The sequence below is a fragment of the Homo sapiens genome, chromosome 10 (genome assembly GCF_000001405.40).
Source record: "Homo sapiens chromosome 10, GRCh38.p14 Primary Assembly".
NCBI classification, from domain to species: Eukaryota; Metazoa; Chordata; class Mammalia; order Primates; family Hominidae; genus Homo; species Homo sapiens.
This window is the reverse complement of record NC_000010.11, coordinates 24,938,595-24,962,231: the sequence shown is the minus strand read 5'-3', so window position 1 is coordinate 24,962,231 and position 23,637 is coordinate 24,938,595. Positions and strand designations below refer to the sequence as shown.

The window sequence follows — 23,637 nt, the reverse complement described above, 5'->3', positions numbered from 1 at the left end:
ATATATGATATAACATGTATAGAACGAGTTGATAACGCAAGACATAAATATAATTTCATGGGAGCGTGTTAGCTCATCTACATGATGAAGCTTTTACAGATTGTAGGTTTATTTTTTAAAACTGCTAACTGACCTGTTCATCATTAATAACACAGAACTTCTGACTGACCAGGAATTCCACTACAATAATTCTATTTTAATATTGGGTAAAAGGTTTTGAGCACTCCTTAGGTACTCAGCACTCTGTATACATTATTTTCTTTAATCCTCACAGTAACCCTAAGAAGCAGGAACTGGCATGATCTCCATTGAACAGATACGAAAAATAAAGCAAAGAAAGTAAGAAACTTGCTCACGGTCAAAATCAGGTGGTAGGTGGTGGAGTCTGGTTTTAAAGCTGAGTCTGCCTGAGTTGGAGCCAAAACCCTGAAACACAGCACCATAAACTTTTCATTAGTCTAGGTATTACTTTATGGAGTACAATGATAAAACCACATTGTTTTAAAATAGTGTATAGTAAAGAATGAATCACAAATTCAAACTGACTTTTTTTATTAGTTCCAATTACTACGCTTTTAACATATGTTAGCTAATATTCTTTTCCCTCGAACCTCAAAGTGTTTTCACAGTAAAATTTAATTCACTTTCAGTGAAAAATCTTGTAAGATTTACTGTATTCTTCCATTGAAAAAAAAAGACACTAATATTGTAAGCTAAATTTAGCAAGATATATATCAAGAACCTTAAAATATTTATACTCTCTAACTTAGAAATTCCATTTCTGGAGAGTTTATCCTCTAGAAATAGTTAAAATGCATATAAATGGTTTATTACAAACACATTTATTTATATATTTATACAATCAAAATTTGGAAGTAGTATACTTATACTGGGGAATGGTTAAATAAGTGATGGCATTGCTATTTCAAATGATGTTTATAAGGAGTTTATTATACTATGGAAAAACACTTGTGTTATATGTTTATTTTACTTAGAATGTGAAGCAGAGAAGAAGGGAACAGAACTACAGCCTGTGCATTTAGTCACAACTAGGTAAGATAAACTTTCCAGAATCACAAAACTGGAAGAAGGCACCAAAATATAACACGGTTTTCTATTTTACTTCTGTTTTTCTATATTTTCCAGTTTAAAACAACTTGTACATACTAATTTAAAATGGAAAAATACCTTTGCACTGTCTTTTAAAAAGTTATAAACAGAATGGCTGAAACATAGCAGATTTGACCCTCTATGAGTCAGGTTCAACTTGCCATGGATCCTACAGTCCCAACTGAGGAAGGGAGTGTAGGTAAGAGATGCCTAGTTAGAAAACACAAGGAATGGCAAGGTGTGGTGGCTCATGTCTATAATCCTAGCACTTTGGGAGGCCAAGGCGGGAGGATGGCTTGAGCCCAGGAGTTCGAAACCAGCCTGGGCAACAGAGTGAGACCCTGTCTCCATTAAAAAAAAACAAAAAATAGGCTGGGTGCAGTGCCTCATGCCTGTAATCCTTTGGGAGGATTAGGCGTGGTGAGGGTGCACTTTGGGAGGCTGAGGCAGGTGGATCACTTGAGGTCAGGAGTTCATGACCAGCCTGGCCAACATGGTAAAACCCTGTCTCTATTAAAAATACAAAAATTAGCAGGGTGTAGTGGTGCACGCCTGTAATCCCAGCTTCTCGGGTGGCTGAGGCAGGAGAATCGCTTGAACTCAGGAGGTGGAGGTTGCAGTGAGCTGAGATTGCTCCATGCACTCCAGCCTGAGAAACAGAGCAAGGCTCCATCTCCAAAAAATAAAAATAAAAATAAAATAATAATAATAAAACAAATAAAACACAAGGAACCCAGTTCCTTCAAGTGCAACCCATAGGACTCTTAATGTGAGAGCTGCAATAGATTCCCACTGGGAGAGTTCCTTGAAAGGAACCATGAGCCCAGTATGCCCATACCTTTGTATGACTTTTAATACCACATCCCAGCTCTGCTTCTTGGTTCGCTGGGATATTCCACATGCTGGCAATGTCTAAAAACAAACAATTACCTTTGCAAGCTACCACATGGTCACTGAGAGAGACAAAAGGGAATTGCCGCAATGAGATGGCTTTCATCTCTCTTGCTATTCAGAAGGCTGATTTTGTTCACACATGAGAGAGAGAAAAATGGCAAAAATGGGAAAGGGGGTGGGGGATGGAGGTGGGGGTAGGGAGATGGAAATAAGTTCCTTGTCTTCTAGGAAAACACCAAGTTGCATGTCAATCTGAAGGATAACCCAAATTGCAAATCCAGGATATTTCACAAGATGAGAAAGGCCTTAGCCATTTTCATTTAAATTCCTATTATATATTTTTACGAAGAGAAAATATCTATGCACAATTTGAAAACAGTGTTATATATAAAATATTTAGTCCTTTTAGTGTATCTTTAAGAATATATAAAACCTCTTACTTGGAGAAAACATTAAAAGCATAAATTTAAACATTTCATAATACTGCAATATTTTTAAAACACTTATAAAACACCTTCCAGAAAGGTTTGCATAGACAAAAAAAAAAAGTTTGGGAAACGTTGCATTACATTGCATTTTGCAACAGTCTTCCTGAATATTGGCAGTGCATATTGGCGTACTAAAGACTCCTAGAAGACCTACAACATAGAAGTTGGCTTAACTTTGCTTACTTAATTGTTTCTCAAACCTAATGAATCAAAACGCCATTTTCTTCAAATATAAAGTGGATCAAACTCACAATTAGGGAAGTGTTGCTCTATGTAGATCAGTGTCCAATTTCTTTTACTTTCTCCATCTCTCCCACTCTCAAGCCACATCTCTCAACCTCTTTCCCAAGCTCCTCTCACCTTAACTCTAAGATGCAACCCATAACCTGGCAATCACTGGATCATGTCTTGGGATATTGCCAGTGGCTGTTATACATCAGCTCTGATCTGAAGAGAATCCATGTACAGCTAAGAGAATAAACAGCTCCATTCCCATTCTAGCTGATCGTCTCCCCAGGACACCAGGCAAAGTTGCTGCTGACTAAGGAGGCCCCCCTTTTTTTGTTTTTGTTTTTGAAGTGGACATCTTTCCTTTAGAAACTCAGCACTGGCTGAGGCACCAATTAATTTTGCATAAGCTGCTACAGGACCCTCAGATGCTAATCAGTTTGTTCATAACCACAGAGTATTGTTTTAGGGTCATGTACGTAACTTCTGCCTCCAGCCCTGTGGATTTATTTACTGCTTAGTCCCTAGTTCCTGCAGCTGTGTCCTTTCAATGACTGCTTTATGGTGGCCAAGAGAGTTGAGGTCGACTGCCAGGACTCAGAGATCTGGAGGAACACATGGACACATTATTCTTTTGCTCTGAAGCTATCCAATTCCTGTTCCGGTCAGAAGGGGAGATAGTGGGAGGATATCTCTGAAACTGCCCAGCGCTTACTGCTGATATTCCTCAGGTCTGACATTATTGCAAGAGAACAAACTTAGATCTACCCTCTGTGTGTTCTTCAGTGGAAGGTGAATTACTAACGAAAGTGTAATAATACAAAACACAATTGAGTGTAGCCTTGGCTTTATTTGTAAGACCTACTCTGGAGATATTATTTTCTTTACTCCAAGACTACACATTGGATCCAGTCTGCTTCAAACAAGAGACCGGGAAAGACGGGTTACTATGCTAATTGAATACTAATGAGGCCTTTGCTTAAGTTGGGTTTTGTTGCAATTATTTGCCACTACATTTCTTTTGTATTTATGTAGAGGGAAAAATAAACTACTTCAAAGTTAGCAAGAGTCTTACTTAGCCTGAGCACTTGCAGAAAAAATGTCTTGCTACTCTTTCTTTTGTACTTGTAACATTTGTAAAGAGTTTTGTTCGGCACTATGGAAAAGCAAAATATCATCATCATTATTACTGGCCTTTGTCCACAGTGGATTTCATCCAGATTCTAACCAGTGACTCTGTGACTAACAATCTGAGTCACTAAGTTTCAGATGTTTATGGATTTCAACACAATTCCCAGACTGAAAGGTTTTTTTTTTTAATTTACTTTCATGTTTCAAGACTCAGAAAGAATTAACTGCCTTTCTGTATTTCCAGTCTAGTGCAGAAAGAATTAAATGCCTTTCTGTATTTCCAATCTAGTGTCACTGAGTGACGGGCTAGGAACAATTCAGTGGATAGACTGAACTGTTCCTTCAATTACAGATTTGTATTGACAAAAGTCAATTACCAAAATGTCAAAAAAAAATTAGTATATACTTCCAGGACAAAAGCCTCCAGGCTGGCAGAGAATTCAGTGAATTATAAATATTTGTGTTTTCACCATGGTAGTGGCACAGGATGATTACAGAATTTAAAATGCAGAGAATCACGGTGATGGGAAAACTGAATATCCACATGTGGAAGAATGAAACTAGACCCCTCTTTCTCACCATATACAAAAATCAACTCAAGGCCGGATGCAGTGGCTCATGCCTGTAATCCCAGAACTTTGGCAGGCCGAGGCAGGCAGATCACTTGAGGTCAGGAGTTTGAGACCAGCCTGGCCAATGTGGTGAAACCCCATCTCTACTAAAAGCACAAAAATTAGCCGGGCGTGGTGGTGGGCGCCTGTAATCCCAGCTACTTGGGAGGCTGAGGCAGGACAATCACCTGAATCTGAGATGCGGAGGTTGCAGTGAGCCGAGATAAAACCACTGCACTCCAGCCTGGGCAACAGAGCAAGACTCCGTCTCAAAACAAACAAACAAACAAACAAACAAACAAACATCAACTCAAAATAAAGACTGCCATGTAAAACCTGAGATGATGAAACTGCTAGAAAAAAAACATAGTGGAAACACTTCATGACATTGGTCCAGGCAAGGATTTTTTGGATAAGACCTCAACAAAAAGAATGAAATCCTGTCATTTGCAACAACATGGATGAACCTGGAGGACATTATGTTAAGCAAGAAAAGCCAGAAACAAAAGGCAAATACGACATGATCTCACTTATATGTGGAATTTTAAAAAGTTGATCACATAGAAGTAGAGACTAGAATACTGGTTAGCAGAGTCAGGTGAAAGGTGGGGAGGAGTGGCAGGAGTAGGAGAAGTTGGTTAGTAGGTACTAGGTTATAGTTAGATGAGAGGAATAAGTTCTGGTACACTAACGCAGTAGTCTCAACCTTTTTGGCACCAAAGACCTGTTTTGTGCAAGACAATTTTTCCACGGATTTTGAGGGGGGATGGTTTCAGGATGAAACTGTTCCATCTCAGATCATCCGGCATTAGTTAGGTTCACAGAAGGAGCATGCAACCTAGATCCCTCCCATGTGCGGTTCACCATAGGGTTTGTGCTCCTGTGAGAATCGAATGCGGCTGCTGATCTGACAGGGGCAGAGCTCAGGTGGGAATGCTCGCTGACACTCACCTCCTACAGTGCAGCTCAGTTCCTAACAGGCCACAGGCTGGTACCAGTTTGCAGCCCGGTAGTTGGGGACACCTGCTGTATGGCACAGCAGAATGATATATTTAACAATAATGTGTTGTATATTTCAAATCAGCTAGAAGAGACAATTTTGAATGTTCTCACCACAAAGAAAAGAAAAATGCTTGAGATGATGAGTATGCTAATTACCCTGAGTTGATCATTATGCAATGTATACATGTAGTGGAATATCACACTGTACCCCATAGATAATATGTATAACTATTATGTGTCAGTTAAAAATAAAACTAAAAAAAAAAGTAAGTAAACACAATATAAACACCAAAAAAAAAAAATAAATAAAATGCAGAGAAACTACTGCTAAAATGTAATAAAGAGAATGATAGAAAAATACAAGTATATTGACTGGTTATTAACTTTGCAAAGATGCACATCTTTATTCTTATAGCTCTTTCAAAGGTATATTAGAAAATGGACAGTCTGACCAGGGCCTACTTGAGGGTGGAGGGCGGGAGGAGGGTAAGGATCAAAAAACTATGTATCAGGTGCTATGGTTATTACCTGGGTGATGAAATAATCTGTACACCTAACCCCTGCGACATGCAATTTTCCCAAACAAACCTGCGTGTGTACCCCCAAACCTCAAATAAAAGTTGGAAAGGAAAAAAAAAGAAAAGGAAATGGACAGTCTGAGCTAAAATATCCCTTTTTATGAAAAATCTCATTATTTTAATAATTTTATCATTTTTCTGTATTCATTCTCATACCAGCTCTAGACTATCCCTGGACTATAACTATCCCTGATTGGTCACCTTACGTCAATCTTTTATTATTATTATTATTATTTGTTTGTAGGGACAGGGTCTTGCTCTGTCACCCAGGCTGGAGTGCAGTGGTGCAATTATGACTCAATGCAGCCTCAAACTTCTGGCCTCAAGCAATCTTTCCAGCTCAGCCTCCCCAGTAGCTAGGTCTACAGGTGCCACGCTACCACACCTGGCTAAGTTTTTAATTTTTTATAGTGATGTGGTCTTACAATGTTACCCAGGTTTGGTCTTGAATTCCTGGCCTCAAGTGAGCCTCCTGCTTTGGCCTCCCGAAGTGCTGGTATTACAGGTGTGAGCCATGGTGCCTAGCCCCATCAACCTTAAAAGACAATTCCTTGTCATTTTCACATGGAATAATTTTACAAACATTTGGTCATACATTTTTACAGCATGTCAGGTTAATAATATCTTACAGTTTTATAGCATTTTGCAAAGAATTCTCTTGCATGTTATCTCACATTCATCTCATCATCATATGCAGTAGAGAATAAATGGGTGGCTCCATTTTATGGATGAGAAAATTGATGTATATTACACTGATATAATTGGCTTAGACTCATTGGCTAAAGTAACATGGATTGTTACAGAAAAATAGAGGTCCTAGTCCAAAGCTATTCCACTAGACATGTGATATGGTTTGGCTCTGTGTCCCCACCCAAATCTCATGTTGAATTGTAATTCCCAGTGTTGGGGGAGGGATCTGGTGGGAGGTGATTGGCTCATGGGGGTGGATTTCTCCCATATTGTTCTCGTTATAGTGAGTGAGTTCTCACAAGATCTGATGGTTTAAAAGTATGTGGCACTACACCCTTGCTCTCTCTCTCTCCTGCTCTGCCATGGTAAGACGTGCTTGCTTCCCCTTTGCCTTCTGCCATGATTGTAAATTTCCTGAGGCCTCCCAGCCTTGCTTTCTGTACAGCCTGCAGAACTGTGAGTCAATTAAACCTCTTTTCTTCATAAATTATCCAGGTCTAAGGTAGTTCTTTATACCAATATGAGAACAGACTAATACAACATGTAACAGAAATTTGAGGTTTAAAAAGAATTTTTGCCTCTAAATCCTCATAATGCAAGATTAAGAATAAAGCCTTGGACAGATGAGCTGTTATTTCTGGATACCGGTCTTTGCAAATACTATTTGGGTTATCAAGTATTATTTTGTATTATGTTAATGCTCTCCAAAGTATCGAAGTGTAATCAGACCGCACAAAGTATTATCAAAATATACAAAGATAATAAAATGAATTAGATTTTTAAAAACTATTTACTCATCATTCTGTGCCCTTTATAGGATGACCTATATAAGTCTATGTAGGATGTTCTTGAGCACACATTCATAAGATTCCTGTTGTCTTTCAAGCAAGTTACATTTTTCACTGTGAACTTGTTGGATTTTACGTTTAAACTAATAGCCTTTCTAAGGGAAGAAGATTTATCTACCATTTCCCTTACATCTTCCGCAGTGTCTAGGCTGGAACCAAAGTTGATGCTTTTTGACTTCTGTATGGCAACTACTCCTGTGACATATTTTGAAGTTCCTGGTACCCCCCAATCTGGCCCTGCACCCACACTGAGCCTCATGGCTAAGTTTTGATATCCAAGCAGTAAGATGGTCTAGTGGAATCCCCTAAAGCATGGGTCATGAGCCACCCACATCACACCCATCTGGTGTCTCTCAGCAGGTACAGGATTCTAGGTGCTTCCACAGATCTTCCCCACCCAGTGAAGCTGCATTAACCAGCTCCCCAGGAGAGTCTTGTGAACTCTAAAGTTTGATCATCATCCTAATGATAGCACTTTTCTGCTCCTGGAAATTTTAATGATGTTGCTTGTGAATATGGTTCCTGGGCCTGGTCTTTGAAAATGAAAATAAAAGATGGTGCTTGACTTTGGGGAAAAGAAGTGAGATGCAGACTACAAAAATGGCTCAAAACAACGCCCTCTCACAATTACTAGGAGAAAATGTTTACCCGTGTGCTGAGAAACAACACCCCCCATTTCTGTAAGGCAGTTGCCAAGCAGATGCCTGATTTCAGGGATCTCTGGAGCTGCACCCTCCAAGGCGCTGGCGCTTAGAAACGACATGAAGAGCCAGCCCTGCTGAGCAGGACCAGGGCGCCAAGTCTGAATGACTAATATTTTTCCAACCTAGAACGTCATTAACCGATTGATAACTATTTCCCCTTTAAACTAGGCAAAATCAGCATTCCTCTCCCCTCTGTGTGCCAGAATTCGAAGATGAACAAAAGACGCCTGCATCAGGAAAACTGTGTTAAGTTCTCTTGGATTCAGGGCTTCGACCCGAATTGGGCTGAGTGAATGAAGACGCTGGTGAGATGTCAGGGACCTGGGGAATGAAGACACACCCAGAAAAAGCAGGAACCTACAGGAGTGGACAAAGAACCGGAGCATAGGCATGTGAGAGGGGTTGAAATGAACAACAGACTCATACAAGAAGGATTTCTAATCAGAAAAGAGCGATTGCTTTAGTAAAGCTGCAACCTGGAACAATTACAATCTGACCAGATGTTCTTGCAAAACTGGTAAAGCAGAGAATGTGTAAAAATCTCTCCCCCTCCTCCCCTGAATGCAGTTGACGAAAGGCCGAAAGGCTGGATCCTCAAAGCCCAGATCTGATCACTGCAGATCCGGGCCACCCTAAAAGCAATCGGGTGTAATCTTTCCAGCTCCAGGCCCTGGGATGAGGGAGGTGGGGGAAGGTGGAGAAAGGTGGAGGAAGATGGAGGGAGGTGAGGGGAGGTGGAGGGAGGTGAGGGGAGGTGGAGGGAGATGAGCGGAGGTGGAGAGAGGTGGGTGGCGGCTCCAAGGTTTGAAAACACATCCAGGACACTTCCCATCCTCCAAGAGCACGCTGGCTCACAGGCTCTTTCACGCTTCTGCTTGGGACAATCGCGTGCATGAAATCTGGCAGGGAGGAGTCAAGGAGATTGTTAGCCCGAGGGCTGGGACGGTGGATCTGGGAATCAGGGGCCTGGGGGACACGTTCTCTTCCTGCCGCGGGCTTCCTGCTCCAGAGTCCCCGCGGGGCTTGGCGGCGGGGCCGGGGGCTGCACGCGACCATCCGGCAGGGGGCGGCGGCGACAGCGGCGGCCGCAAGGGACGCGTCCGGGGCCCGCGCTCAGGGGGAGCGGTAGCGGCTTGGCAGCTGCTCCCCGCGCCCCCGCGGCCTAGCCAGGGGAGGGGGCGCAGCGCCGGGGCCATGGATCCGCGTCAGGCCGCTGCTTCCCGCCGGCGGGCCCGGGGCGGGGCGGACCCGTCCCCGTCCCCGTCCCCGTCCCCGTCCCCGTCCCCATCCCCACGTCCCATCCCCCACGCAGCCTTCGCCCTCCCTGCTCCTTCCCGCGCCGTCTTCCCTTCCCGCGTTCCCCGGGAGAAACATGGCCGGGAGCAGCGAGGAGGCGCCAGACTACGGGCGAGGCGTCGTGGTAAATGCAAACTCCCTATTTTGGGGCTCGGCCCGCTCCCCTCCCTCCCTGGCACCCTGCTTGTAGATTAAATGCTTGCCGTGCGTCGGGGGAGAGAGAGGGCCACCGCTTTGTTCTCCCTCCCGGCGGGGATCGCTTCCATCCTCGGACCCGGGCCTCCTCTCCCCGCCCCCAATCTGACGAAACTCTGAGTCCCGTCCCTTCACCCCGAGTTCCCAGCGTCCCCCCGTGTCCTCCGGCCGGTAGCTCGCTCCTGCAGCGTCCCGCCGGCGCCCAGCCGTCCCCATCCCCGCGAGCCACGGGGAGTCGCTTCTGCGAGCCCGGCAGGGCCCCAGAGACCCCCGCGTGCTGCTCTGGAGGCCTCCTTCTTCCTGGGTCTCCTCTTGACTCCTCCAGGGCGGGCTTCAAGTTTTGTTTTTAAAAAGCACACTGAGGGGTTTTGAAGGCAGCTAGGAAATAAAGTAGCTCAAGTGGACAGAGCTTGAGATTTGAAGCCTTTGGTACCCAGGTTGGGGGCTCTCTGGCAGTGGAGGCCTCTGCAGGAGCTCTAGGACACGCTGGCGGCTCCTGAGTGACCTATGGCTTGTCTGTAAAAGGGAGCAACAGCAAGCTGGGCTCTGGAGCCAATTGGGAGGATGCATGTAAAATATCTAGCAGTGTGTCCGGATGGGAGGGTGTGGGGTGCTGGTTTCCCAGAACTGAGCCTCATTAACCCTGAGAATCCTGACGGTGTCAGCCAGAGGGTACCCATCTCTCAGTGTGCTAGGATCCAACCCGTTCTTGACCTTGTGGCCACGTCCTCCCTGCTCCCTGAGAAGTGGTTTTCCTAGAAGGTGGTGGTTATAACTTGTGTCAGGTTCAGTGTGAAACTCAATGGTGGTGAGGATGGTGGGTGGGGCTAACTTGCCATCTCTTTCCAGGGATCAGCTTGTCATTCACAGATAATCTGTTTATGAATATGAATGGCCTGAACTAAAGTAAGTGGGCTGGGGAGGGAAACGTGTCACATTCAGACAGAAGGGTCAGGTTGAAATGTGGGGCTCAGTGCTTAATTTAACAGCAGGACCTTTCCTTCTGAAAGGATGAGGAGTTGATTTATTCATTCCACACGTTTATTGTCCTGCTGGGTTGTAGGAGGTGCTGTAGGCTCTGGGGTGCAAAAGACAAAGGCCTTGTCTTCATGAGCTTGCGTTCTAGAGAAGACATAGGCAAGCAGTGTGTAAACAAATAGAGAAAATTTCAAATAGAGATATGTGCAATAGGAGGAGGGTAACAGGATAGAGGGTAATTGGAGGAGAAGGGGGGAGTGATGCTTTTGCTCAGGTGGTCAGGGCAGCCTCTCTGCGGTGACCTTTGAGCCAAGATCTGAAGGGTACACAGGAGTAGCCATGTGGACTGCAGGCAGAGACCCGCATACCAAATGCAAAAGAATCATTGTATCCGATTTATGCTTTTACAAAAACCATTCCAGTTGCCCCAGGAGGAGGGGCAAGCCTAGCGGTGTGATGGATGGGAGGGGGACTAAAACGCAAAAAGGGCAATCATTAAGTTCATTCTGGACAAATTGAGTTTGTAGTGCCTGTAAGGCCCACAGGTTGGCCTGCACTGTAGGCAATTTGAAATTCACATTTGGAATTCTGGAGAGTGATTGGAGAGATTTGGAAGTCATCAGCAAAAAGAATAATATGTAATGTTCGGGAGTGCTCAGTGAATATGGAAAAAACAATTAAAGCAACTGTTAAGGATGGAAGCCTGGAAAGTCCCAAATATAAGAGGCTGCCTGTGGGGGAGAAGCTGGTTGAAGGAACCGAGAAAGAACTTTGAAGGGTGGGAGGGCAGGCAGCATGGTGGGTGCCTTGGGAATAGAGCATTGTTGAGCAGGAGGGGCGGGGTCAAGAGGTCATCAGAAGTGTCAGATGTTACAGGGACAGCAAGTCGGATACCAAGATGGAAAACAGCCACTGTATTTAACAATTACAAAGCCATTAGTAGGGAGAATCTTTTAAACAACCACTGCATTGGTAGAATGGTTAAAATATAGTACAAGTTGAGCATCCCTAATCCAAAAATCCAAAATCCGAAATGCTCCAAAATCTGAAACTTTCTGAGCACCAACATGATGCTGAAAGGAGATGCTTACTGGAGCATTTTGGATTTCGGATTTTCAGATTAGGGATGCTCAACCAGGAAGTATAATGCAAATATTCCAAAATCCAAAGGAAAAAAAATCTGAAATTGGAAACGCATCTGATCCCAAGCATTTTGGATAAGGGGTACTCAACTTGTACTACCGTAACATACTACATACTTTTAGAAAAGAATAAGGTGAATCTAGATGCACGGATAGAGTAGGTAAATTGTTGAAGTCTAAAAAACAAGTGAGAGAACACTGTAAATAGCCCAGTCTATTGGTGTCAACAGAGGTCCTCTTGGAAGCAAGGTAATTTTTTGAAAGATGCAAAGAGGTAGTGAGAGGGGTATCAAGAGAGTAGAGGGCCAGGTGAGGTGGCTCATACCTGTAATCCCACCACTTTGGGAGGCCGAGGTGGGTGGATCTCCTGAGGTCAGGAGTTCAATAGAATCCTGACCAACATCGTAAAACCTTGCTGCTACTAAAAATACAAAATTAGCTTGGCATGGTAGTGCATGCCTGTAATCACAGCTACTTGGGAGGCAGAAGCAGGAGAATTGCTTGAATCCGGAAGGTGGAGGTTGCAGCAATCCAAGATTGCACCATTGCACTCCAGGCAACAAGAGTGAAACTCCTTCTTAAAAAAAAAAAAAAAAATAAATAAATAAATAAATAAATAAACAAAAAAAATGAGTATAAACTGGACCAGCTGCCAAGGGGCTTGGTGCTTGCATGAGAGCCCACAAAGGTGGGAAATAATCCACATATAATGGAGATAGTCCCTACATTTACATCCTTTTCTCCAGTAGAACTTGGAATAATTAGATTAACCTCAAGTTGGATATAAGCAGGCAACTTCAGAGCGAATCGAAGCTGCTGGTAGAAGGCAGCTCATGGCATGTAAGGCAGGAGGGAAGGGAGAGCTGGAGAGGATGAGTTTACTGGGAGAATAGAAAGCTCTCAAGGATGGGATACAAAAAATCAAATTAGTACCAGTTTTAAAAAGGGGCAGGTGGCTGGGAGTGGTGGCTCACACCTGTAATCCCAGCACTTTGGGAGGCTGAGAGAGCAAATCACTTGAGCCCAGGAGTTCGAGACCAGCCTGGGCAGCCAACCCTCTCTCTACAAAAAATACAAAACTTAGCCAGGCATGGTGGTGCATGCCTGTAGTCCCAGCTACCGGGGAGGCTGAGGTGGGAGAAGCACCTGAGCCCAGGAAGTCAAGGCTGCAGTGAGCCATGATCGTGCCACTGCATTCCAGCCTGGGTGTCAGAGTGAGACCCCATCTGAAAAAAGGGGCAGAGGGCAGGTAATAATAGCAAGCATTTCTTGAGCACAAATCTGTAAGGGAGGTCTAGTGTGCTCCCCATTTTACAGAAGAGGAAACTGAGGCACTGAGAGATTAAGTAAATCACCCAGGTCGCATAAGTAGCAAATGGCAGAAGCGGGATTTGAACCAGCTTTCAATCACTATACTACATAGCAAGCTGTGATTCCAGGATGGAATTTCAGGGTTGGGGCCATCTGTAGGACTGGTCTGGCTATGTGAATGTATTGCTAAATGGGGAATAAAGATGTGATTTGAGTTAAGAATGTAGTTTGAGCTAAGGCTGGTGAAGGAGCTACAAGATGAAGTCGTTGGAAAGATCGTTGAGGTAGGCATTGGAGTAAATCAGCCAAGGAATTGTCCAGGAATGAGGTAGAGAAGAAAATTCCGAGTTGGTAGAAATCTGTTGATAAAGATGGCAAGGGATGTAGAGTCAGATGATATAAATATAAAACGAGAAGTAAAGTTTGTGCAAGAGAAGGGAATATTAAGAGATTTAAGATGGCTCTTGCCTATAAATTGGCTTTTGGTTGAACTGGGGAGGTAGGACATTTATACCATTAACAATAAATGGTAGCAAATGCTAATTGCCACATAAGAGAGGTAGATCCTAAGGTCAGAAATTTTGCTCAGAGTTGGCTTGTCACTTGATCTGGAGCTAATACAGTCACCAGATTCCTGGTTGATACCTCTTTGTTACTTCTCAGGGAGAGATAAAGATCTTCTCTATCCACCTGGCTTTTGGGGATCGGGTTATTAGACATGTTTTTGTTTGTTTGTTTTTGTCTGGTTTGGTTTTGCCAAATGATTATCAACTGAGCTATTATTAGTACTTACCTAAGTGAGTTTGGTAGGAATCAGGAGAAGAGAGAAATCAGAAATGATTGTTGTGTTTCTGTTATGGCTGGCTTCCTGTCACCCCCCATGAAAATACGGCAGTATCAGAGATAAGTAATCAGGTAATATCAGAGATAAGTAATCCATCGAAAGCACAGCTCTACTAGGTGGTAATGAGTTTTCCTTCTGTGGGGCAAACCCACCACAGAAGAGGAAGGCATGTGGATAGGAGGTGGTTGGCCTGTCGAGCTTCCTTCATTCCTCTGTGAGCAGAACCTGGGAATCTTTTAGCAAACCACTTGTCCCCACTTTTCAAGATGTATGGTTGTGAGGTGGGGCCCTTCCCAGGGTACCTCCTTCCCTGGCTCTAGGGCTAGGACAGGAATCCCAGAATTCCTGTCTGGGATTCTTTGAATTAGAGTGAAGGGATGAGACCCCCTTTCTCTTGCTGGTGGAGGACAGATGAGAGCTATGGCCTGAAGGAGAGAACAGGGCCAATCTGTGGAGCTCAGCAGGGGAGAGGAGCAGAGATTAGCTTCTTGTATGTGTTTTCTCCCTTAGGGAGAAAAATGATGCAAAAAATAGTCTAAGCACAAAAAAAATTATTTTTAATGACTTACAAAGTTTTCAGTGCATCTTCAGTGCGAAAAAGAGAATCAGAATTACTTCTGGGATTTGGATGTTGCATAAAATGACTCACTTAATGGGTTTGTCACTTCCCCCAGCTTGGCTATGTTTTGCTGTTTTGAACAGAGAAAGCATTGTACTGAATACACTTAGAGCATATTATCTGTGATACTGAAACTATCTACAGACTCTGGTTTTGATTTTTTAAAAAGCAAGTGAATAACAGTTATCTACAGTTCATAGCAACCTCCATTCCTGCAGGTTTTGATTTATTTACAACACGATTTGCATGCACCATTGAAGTTAGCAAAGCATAAACCAGTATTTCCATCGTCTTGAATCGACTTTCATCTCAACAATGAAAACTCACTATTTAAGATTAATTGAAAATAATGGCCAATTTGGATTATAGAACAGTTTTAGAGAAATATATTTCTTCTACTTTTATACTTTTTGTTTTGTTTTCTTGAGACAATCTCACTTTGCTACCCAGGCTGGAGGGCAGTGATGCGATCATGGCTTACTACAGCCTTGACCTCCTAGACTCAAGCCATCCTCCTGCCTCAGCTTCCCAAGTAGCTGAAACTACAGGCACACGCCATCACACCAGAACAATTTTTTTTTTTATTTTTTGTAGAGATGGGTTCTCATTATATTACCCAGGCTGGTCTCACACTCTTGGGCTCAAGTGATCCTCCCACTTCAGCCTCCCAAAGTGTTGGGATTACAGGCATGAGCCAATGTGCCAGGCCTCAAATGTATAGTTTTAACTAAGATAATAACACTGGCATATAGGTTTGAGGCACTTCTTTAGATGAATTAAAACATATAATTTGTTGTTAAATGATTGATGTTTCAGTTCATCTAAATGATTAGCATTTATTGCATAAGTACTGTAGACCAGAAACTGATATGAGTCTTACATTCATTATCTTATTTAATGCTCACCATAGCCATATGAGGCAGGCACTAACTCCATTTCATAGATGAATACACTAAGAGAATTTAATATGCCCAAGGTCTCATGGCTGGCAGGCTTGTCCCAGGTGTGTGAGATTTCCATGTCCATGCTCTTAACACACTACTCTGTGTGGCCTCTGGGCTATGGATCCATATTACAGTTTATAGGTTTGTTTCATTTGTGATTTTCTTATCATTTTTTTCCTATTTTTGGCATTCATTTTTGGCACTTTTAGTCTGTTTCCTTTTTTTGGCATTATGCGTCAAACATCATGTATTATACACCATGCAGTGTTCCAGGTATTCTAAGTACATTATCCTTATAATAACCCTATCCATAGGTTTTACTGTGTCTTATTTAAAGCAAGGGGAAACTGGATCTCAGAGACAGTAAGTCATCTCCCTAACATCACAGTAGTAAGTGTCAGAGCCAAACTCTTGAACATGGAGTGGAGAGTATGCTCCAAGATTCAACCAGAACGGGGGCAGTAAAGGATTGATGTGGTTGGAGGAATGGATTCAGAAGACCACTAGTTAATGGTGCCACTGGTGGAGGAGCTCCAGAAAGTGGGGTAGATAGTACATGTGGTCTGGAAGGTGATCCAGAAAGTGCTGTACACCTGGATGATCCCCCTGGGGCCTGGGGCCAGTCAGGGTTCTCCTGGTCTGGTCTTTACTGTGGCCTGCCAGAGGCTCTCCTAGAATCTCCTCATGTACAGCTGGTAGTCTAGACTCTGGCCAGCTGCTGTAGTGTTAGAGGTTATAGCAGGTACAAGGAGTTCTCAGGGTGGCAGCCAGAGGAGCTTGGTGCAAATCCAGCAGTCCCACCGGCCAGTTTGATGGTAGAGGGAGAGCAAACGAGACACTTTTCAAATCAAATATGCAGATTGACCAGGCATGATGGCTCACACTTATAATCCCAGTGTTTTGGGAGGCCAAGGTGGGAGGATCCCTTCAGGCCAGGAGTTTGAGACCAGCCTGGGCAACATAGCCAGACCTCGTCTCTACAAAAGAAATTAAGAAAATAAGCTGAGCGTGGTTGTCCACTCCTTATCTCCAGCTACTTGGGAGGCTGAGGTGGGAGGATCGCTTGAGCCTAAAAGTTCGAGGCTGCAGTGAGCTATGATTGTGGTACTCCACTCAAGCCTAGGCAACAGAGGGAGATTCTGTCTCTTAAAAAATAACATAGATGATATACACCATGTGGCCATCAGTCAGCCAATGGATATGACACATTGGAATCTCCAGAACCTTGAACAGTGGTGCTCTTTATCACAAGGAGACAAACTGAGAATTCAGGTTGGAGTTCAGGTTTTCAGGTAGCCGGAAGATGGAGACTGTGTCATCCATTCATTCATTTAACATTTTTGAGCACTATACCATATTCCAGATCAGCATTCTGGGCACTGAGGGATTCAACAATGAATCAGAAAAAGTCTCCGCCAGAAGGAGCTCATGTTCTGACAGAACACACCCATGCACACACACATCATCCAGTGGTAAAACAGGCTATGAAGGTCAGGGAAGGCGTCTTTGCAGAGGTGACATTGAATGGAGACTTGAAAGAAGTAGAGGACAGCCATGTGGAAATCTGGAGGAAGAGTGTTGCAGGCAAGAGGAGGCGCCAGTGCAAAGCTCAGGAGGCAGGGGTGTGATTGGCAGATCGGAGGACTTGAAAGAGAGCAGCTGCTGAAGCAGAGGGAAGAGGAAGAGTGCCAGGAATGAGTCAGACAAGGTAATCCCTGGTGAGCCACAGTGAGGACTCTGGTCTTTACTTGGAGTAAAGTGATAAGCCCTTGAAAAAAATCTAAGCAGAAGGCTGCCATGATAGGATGTCCTTTGTTTTTTATTTTTATTTTTCGAGAGACAAGGTCTTGCTCTGTCACCCAGGCCGAAGTGCAGTGGCACAGTCATAGCTCACTGCAGCCTCGAACTCCCGGGCTCAAGTGATCCTCCTACCTTGGCCTACTGAGTAGCTCGGACTACAGGCAGACACCACCTTGCCTGGCTAATTTTTTAATTTTTTGCAGAAACAGGATCTTGCTGTGTTGCTCAGGCTGATCTCTAACTCCTCGCCTCAAGAGGTCTTCCCGCCTCAGCCTCTCAAGTGCTGGGATTACAGGCATGAGCCACTGTACCTGGCTGTGATGTGCATTTTTAAAGGAGCATGCCCGCTTCCATGTGGAGGGGCTGCAAAGTGGAAGCAGGGAGGCAAGTGTAGTGGCTCCTGGGACAGTCCTGGGAGAAATCATGGTGGCAATGGACTGGCCTGGGGGTGGGGGAATAGCAGTGGAGGTGCCGAGAGGTAGTCCTGGATAAATTTCGAGGGAGTTGAAGATAGTTTTCTGCTGTGTTGCCTGAGGGCGATGAAAGAAAGGAGTCAGTGACAATTCCAAGGGACAGGAGCCTTCTCAAGGATCCTGCATGGGAGCCTTGGGTAAGACAGAGAGCTACAAGGGGCACCAGGAATTTGGGAAAGAAGATCAGAGGCCGGGGGCAGTCAGCAAGGCCTCCAGGAAGAAGTGGGGTGTGACCTGGGCTTCTGAGTTCGGAATACAGAGGTAGAGGAGGAAAGGGGGAGAGAGGATGAAGGGGTGCACGGCAAATGAATGAATGAAACCCAGAGCTGGGAAGGATCCTGACTTGACTGCAAACCATTCTGAAGGCAGGAAGCAAAGGTGTAGGGAGTTGTGCTGGAAAATTAGGGTGGGTCTGCATTGTGAAAGGCCTCAGAAGCTCAAAGCTGGACAGAGGAGTCAAAGTGTGCAGGAGTGAGTAAAGAATGGGAAACTGAGGCCAGTTGTGCTGGCTAATGCGTGTAATCCCAGCACTTTGGGAGGCTAAGGCAGGCGGATGGCTTGAGTCCATGAGCTCAAGACCAGCCTGGGCAACGTGGCAAAACCCCATCTCTACAAAAAACACATAAAAATTAGCTGGGCATGGTGGCACACACCTGTGGTCCCAGCTACTCAGGGGACTGAGGCTGGACAATCAGTTGAACCTGGGAGGCAGGGTTGCAGTGAGCAGAGATCGCACCACTGCACTCCAGACTGGGTGACAGTGCGGGACCCTGTCTCAGAGAGAGAAAAAAAAAAAAAAAAGAATGGGAAACTGGAATACAGCTAGAGTATGATCTGAGTGTGTAACACTTCATTGTTACATCTTTTCTTGATGTTCCAAAAGTAAAAGTAACTCCACCTTCACCTTCCATTTCTCCCCCACCTCTTTACTATTCTAACCGTAAAACTAGCACATCAAGTCCTAAGCGAGAGGGAGACTTACTATCAGTCCATCCACTATGTGAATAGGCCAATTTTCTGGATCATCAGTTTCTAATAGGACGGTTTAAGTGTCTAACATAGTACATCCTTTTAAAGTCTTTACTATAGTGACTAGACATTCAAAAGTTTGGGTCTACTCTGATCCCAGGAGATACGTACTTTTAATAAGAAATCTTTTCCAGGCAGATGAGGCACTTACAATGAATAGAAATGTAATAGTATGTATAATATAATAATGATACTGCATGTATTTTAGAATTACAAATATGTTGTTTATTATGATATATTTATATTTAAATATATTATATATTATAAATATATAATTTGGAGAAAAATTATATATTACACATATGCCCTCACAAATAATGCTATCGGGTTAGCTATAAAACACTGACTTTATATTTTTATTGTATGATAGGCCAGGTGTGGTGGCTCATGCCTGTAAACCTAGCACTTTAGGAAGCTGAGGCAGGTGGATCACTTGAGGTCAGGAGTTCAAGACCAGCCTGGCCAACATGGCAAAACCTCATCTCCACTGAAAATACAGAAATTATCTGGGCGTAGTGGCACATGCCTGTAGTCCCAGCTCCTCGGGAGGCTGAGGCAGAAGAACTGATTGAACCTGGGAAGCAGAGGTTGCAGTGAGCTGAGATCACCCCACTGCACTCCAGCCTGGGTGACAGAGAAAGACTCTGTCTCAAAGTCTCAAACAAAACAAAACAAATATTTTATGATGCCAATAGTTGGGAATGGAGTGCTCTGTTCACTTTAGTACTGCGCCTTGTATCAGGTTGTGGAAACAAATAACCTTGTTCCACTAAACTTTTCATAAGTTGAGGGAATTCTCCTCTCAAGTGATACTCTTTTGTTATGTTTTAAACAAATTTCTGATGAAAAAATACCATAACCAAAATAATTTGATTTGCAGATTATGGATGATTGGCCAGGGTATGACTTGAATTTATTCACGTACCCACAGCACTATTATGGAGACTTGGAGTATGTCCTCATCCCTCATGGTATCATTGTGGACAGGTGAGTGTGATTTCCTGTGTCAATCTTGGTCCTGCACTGGGCCGGCCCACACTTGTGTGAATCCCACAATATACTTTAGGACCCTATTCCTGAGCTGCGTTTTATAGTGGTAGAGAGAACTTTTATATAGGGCAGTGAATTTGGAATAAAATGAATGTATGCTTAAATTGAATGGTTTACCTGGACATTTGTTCAGGCGGTATGGTAATATGGTAAGAAGGATATACATACATAAGCTATTATAAGTAACAGCCTCAAAATAACAATGTCCTAAGATGGCTTTTCCGTGGCAAAGAAGTCCCACCCTCACAGAGGGGGGACGTTCCGTGATCAAATAAACTTTGGAAATTTTGTGTCTTCCATATTTTTGTCTCTCAGTTGACAAATCAAAACAAACATTAGCATATTGAAAATATGGAAATTCCAGCCAAAAGAAAAGAAGAACACAGAAAAGAAACCTGCTTGACTTTAACAATTAAAGCAACCTTTTTTTGTGCAAAGGGAGACTTTGTACTCAGTTTACCTATTTACAACTCTCAGAAGAGATTTCCCTTAATACCAGTTTGGGAAGCTCCTAATTTAAACAAATTCTTGCATTTCTTACCTGAATTTTCTAATTTAAAATTAATTTAAAATCAGTCAGAACATGATTGACTCCTGGGTAGGGGGTAGGGTTACCCTAAGCCTTTTCTTTGTACAAGAGAATCATCCAGTAAACTTGTTAAAATGCATATTCTTAAGCTTTATGTCTAGAAATTTCAAATCGATATTCTAGGGTGGGGCCCAAGAATGTCCGTTTTCACCTTTGAAATAAATTTATAAGCCAGGGGCTATGGCATGCACCTGTAATCCAGGCTACTCCAGAGGCTGAAGTGTGGGGATCACTTGAACCCAAAAATTTGAGACTAACCTGGGCTAATCTCAAATACTGAGATCTTGTCTCAAAAAAAAAAAAAATTAAGATGTAATTTACAGGGCTGGGTACAGTGGCTCGTTCCTGTAATCCCAGCACTTTGGGAGGCTGAGGCAAGAGGACTGTTTGAGCCAGGAGTTTGAGACCAGCCTGGGCAATGTAGTGAGAACCCGTCTCTACAAAAAAATAAAAAACATTAGTCAGGCATAGTAGCACAGGCCTGTAGTCCCAGCTACTAGGGAGGCTAAGGCGAGAGGATCACTTGAGTCTGGGAGGTCAAGGCTGCAGTGAGCCATGATCACACCACTGCACTGTAGCCTGGGGAACAGAGCGAGACCTTGTCTCAAACACACAAACACACACACACACACACACACACAAGATTAATTTATATACTACTGCACAAAATTCACCCATTGCAGGTGAACAACTAAATGATTTTTAGTAAATTTTTATGGTCAGGCAACCATCAGCACCATCCAGTTTTACATTTCCATCATCCCCAAAAGTTTGTTTGCAGCCAATCCCTGCTCCCACTTCCAGCATCTTTTTCTATAAATTTGTCTTTTCTGGCCATTTTGCGTAAGAAAATCGTACAATAGCTAATTATTGATTGACCAGTTGATGTACATTTGGATGTCCCATTTTTGGCTATTGTGGAAATGCTTCTATAAACATTCACATATAAGTTTTGTGTGGACATATCTTTTCATTTCTCTTGGATGGATTTCTCATTGTGGAATTCTGGGTTTTCTGGTAAGTGTAAGAAACTGCCAATTATTTTCCAAAGTGGCTGCACCTTGTTACATTGCCACCAGCAGCATATGAAGGTTTCAGTTTTTCCACATACTTGCCAACATTGAATATTGTCTGTCCTTTTGATTATAGCCATTCTTGTGGCTGTCTAATGGTATCTCACCGTGGTTTTAATTTGTATTTTCCTAATCATTAGTATACTTGTTAGCTATTCATAAGCCTTCTTTGGAGAGAGGTCTTTTCAAGTCTTTTGCCAATTTTTAAATTCAATTGTTCATCTTCTTATTGAACTATAAGAGTTCTTTATATATTTTGGATAATAGTCCTTTATCAGATATATGATTTGCAAATATTTACTCCCAGCCTATGGTTTGTCTTACTATTTTCTTACTGGTATCTTTTAAGAAGAATGTGTATCCTGCTGTTGTGGGGTGAAGTATTGTATATGTGTTAATTAGATCCAGTCAGTTGATGGTGCTTCTCAGTTCAACTATATGCTTACTGATTCTCTGACTGTTGGACCTGTCAATTACTGATAGAGGGGATGTTAAAGTCTCCAAATAGTGCATTTGCCTGTTTCTCCTTGCAGTTCTATTAGGTTTTTGACACTTTGTTTTTAGGAGCATATATATTAGGAATTGTTATGTCTCTTTGGATAATCGACCTCCTTATTATTGTGTAATGATGCTCTTTATCCCTGCATATTCCTCACTCAGAAGTCTGCTCTGTCTGAAATTAAAATAGCTACTCCAACTTTCTTTTGATTAATGTTAGCATGGCATGTCTTACTCCATCCATTTAATCTATCTGTTTTTATATTTATATTTAAAGTGAGTTTCTTTTTCTTTTTTTTTTTTTTTTTTTTTTGAGATAGAGTCTCACTCTGTCACCCTGGCTGGAGTGCAGTGGCACAATCTCGGCTCACTGCAACCTCCAACTCCCGGGTTCAAGTGAACCTCCTGCCTCAGCCTCCCAAGTAGCTGGGATTATAAGCATGCACCACCACACCTGGCTAATTTTTTGTATTTTTAGTAGAGATGGGGTTTCACCATGTTGGCCAGGATGGTCTTGATCTCCTGACCTGAAGGGATCTGCCTGCCTTGGCCTCCCAAAGTGCTGGGATTATAGGTGTAAGCCATAAAGTGAGCTTCTTGTGGGCAATATACAGTTAGATCTTTTTTTAATCCACCCTGACAGTCTGTCTTTTAATTGCTATATTTAGACCATTCATATTTAAAATGAGTATTGATATAATGTTTAGTATCTATCGTATTTATAACTATTTTCTATTCATTGCTGTTGTTGTTTCCTTTTTTGTCTTCCACTCTGTGAAATTCTACTTTTTTTTTTTTTTTTTTTGAGTCAGAGTTTCACTCTTATCACCCAGACTGGAGTGCAATAGCACAGTCTGGGCTTACTGCAACCTCCGCCTCCTGGGTTCAAGTGATTCTCCTGCCTCAGCTTCCTGAGTAGCTGGGATTACAGGCGCAGACCACCAAGCCCGGCTAATTTTTGTATTTTTAGTAGAGATTGGGTTTCACCGTGTTGGCCAGGCTGATCTTGAACTCCTGACCTCAAGAGATCTGCCCACCTCACTGTGTGACTTCTGATGTCTGTGAGGTTTATTTTTCTCTTGTTTTTATTTTTAAGCCTCACTTACTAGGGATCACCCTGTGTTTGAATAGCTTAGTGTTTGGCCTACAATTGGTTAGAAGTTGTGCTCAAATACGTCAAGCCAGTAAGTCTTCCACTCTCTGCTGATGGGGGTGTGTGGGGACTTGAAAGTAGATTCAAATTTCCAACCATTTTCAAATCTTTCGATGTTTACTTTCCCCTGAGCTTTCTTGTGCCTTCTCTGCACATGTACACAGCCTTCACTGTCCAGGGATGTGTGGGTGGCTTGAACTCACTCTGCTGTGCATATGTACAGCCTCTGGTCAATTGAGATGCATGAAGAACTTATTGTGTGCCCCTGTTCTATGACTGTCTAACCTCCTCCCTGGAACTTCCTATCAAATCCCCAGCCAGCCTGCCAGTGCACTGCTCAGCGGTGACTGCACCTCAGG

The 23,637-nt window shown here is 43.2% G+C and overlaps 2 protein-coding genes across 4 annotated transcripts in view, besides 1 other annotated feature; one reads left to right on the top strand and one right to left on the bottom strand.

Moving 5' to 3' along the window:
- THNSL1 (threonine synthase like 1) overlaps nt 1–9,868 on the bottom strand; it is a 74,301-nt gene extending 64,433 nt beyond the window's left edge. Inside the window, exons 1-2 of one of the 2 annotated variants that reach the window (XM_017016665.2) lie at nt 9,784–9,868; nt 357–426 (exon numbers count right to left, since the gene is read on the bottom strand). The gene's annotated coding sequence lies outside the window, so the exon portion shown is untranslated. Of the gene's footprint in view, nt 1–356; nt 427–2,743; nt 6,945–9,783 lie in introns of those variants that run through there. The other variant, XM_047425764.1, reaches the window with a different exon arrangement.
- Nucleotides 9,276–9,465: a silencer, noted in NCBI's record as "silent region_2229". NCBI's record gives its function as "represses an Ori minimal core promoter by ATAC-STARR-seq in GM12878 lymphoblastoid cells {active_cell/tissue: GM12878}" and the evidence as "EXISTENCE:reporter gene assay evidence [ECO:0000049][PMID:35858748]".
- Nucleotides 9,626–23,637, top strand: part of PRTFDC1 (phosphoribosyl transferase domain containing 1) — a 103,993-nt gene continuing 89,981 nt past the window's right edge. For both annotated transcript variants that reach the window (NM_001282786.2, NM_020200.7), the window contains exons 1-2: nt 9,626–9,704; nt 19,796–19,902. In NM_001282786.2, coding sequence (NP_001269715.1) covers nt 9,657–9,704; nt 19,796–19,902 — 155 coding nt within the window. In that variant the 5' untranslated portion in view covers nt 9,626–9,656. The remainder of the gene's footprint in view (nt 9,705–19,795; nt 19,903–23,637) is intronic.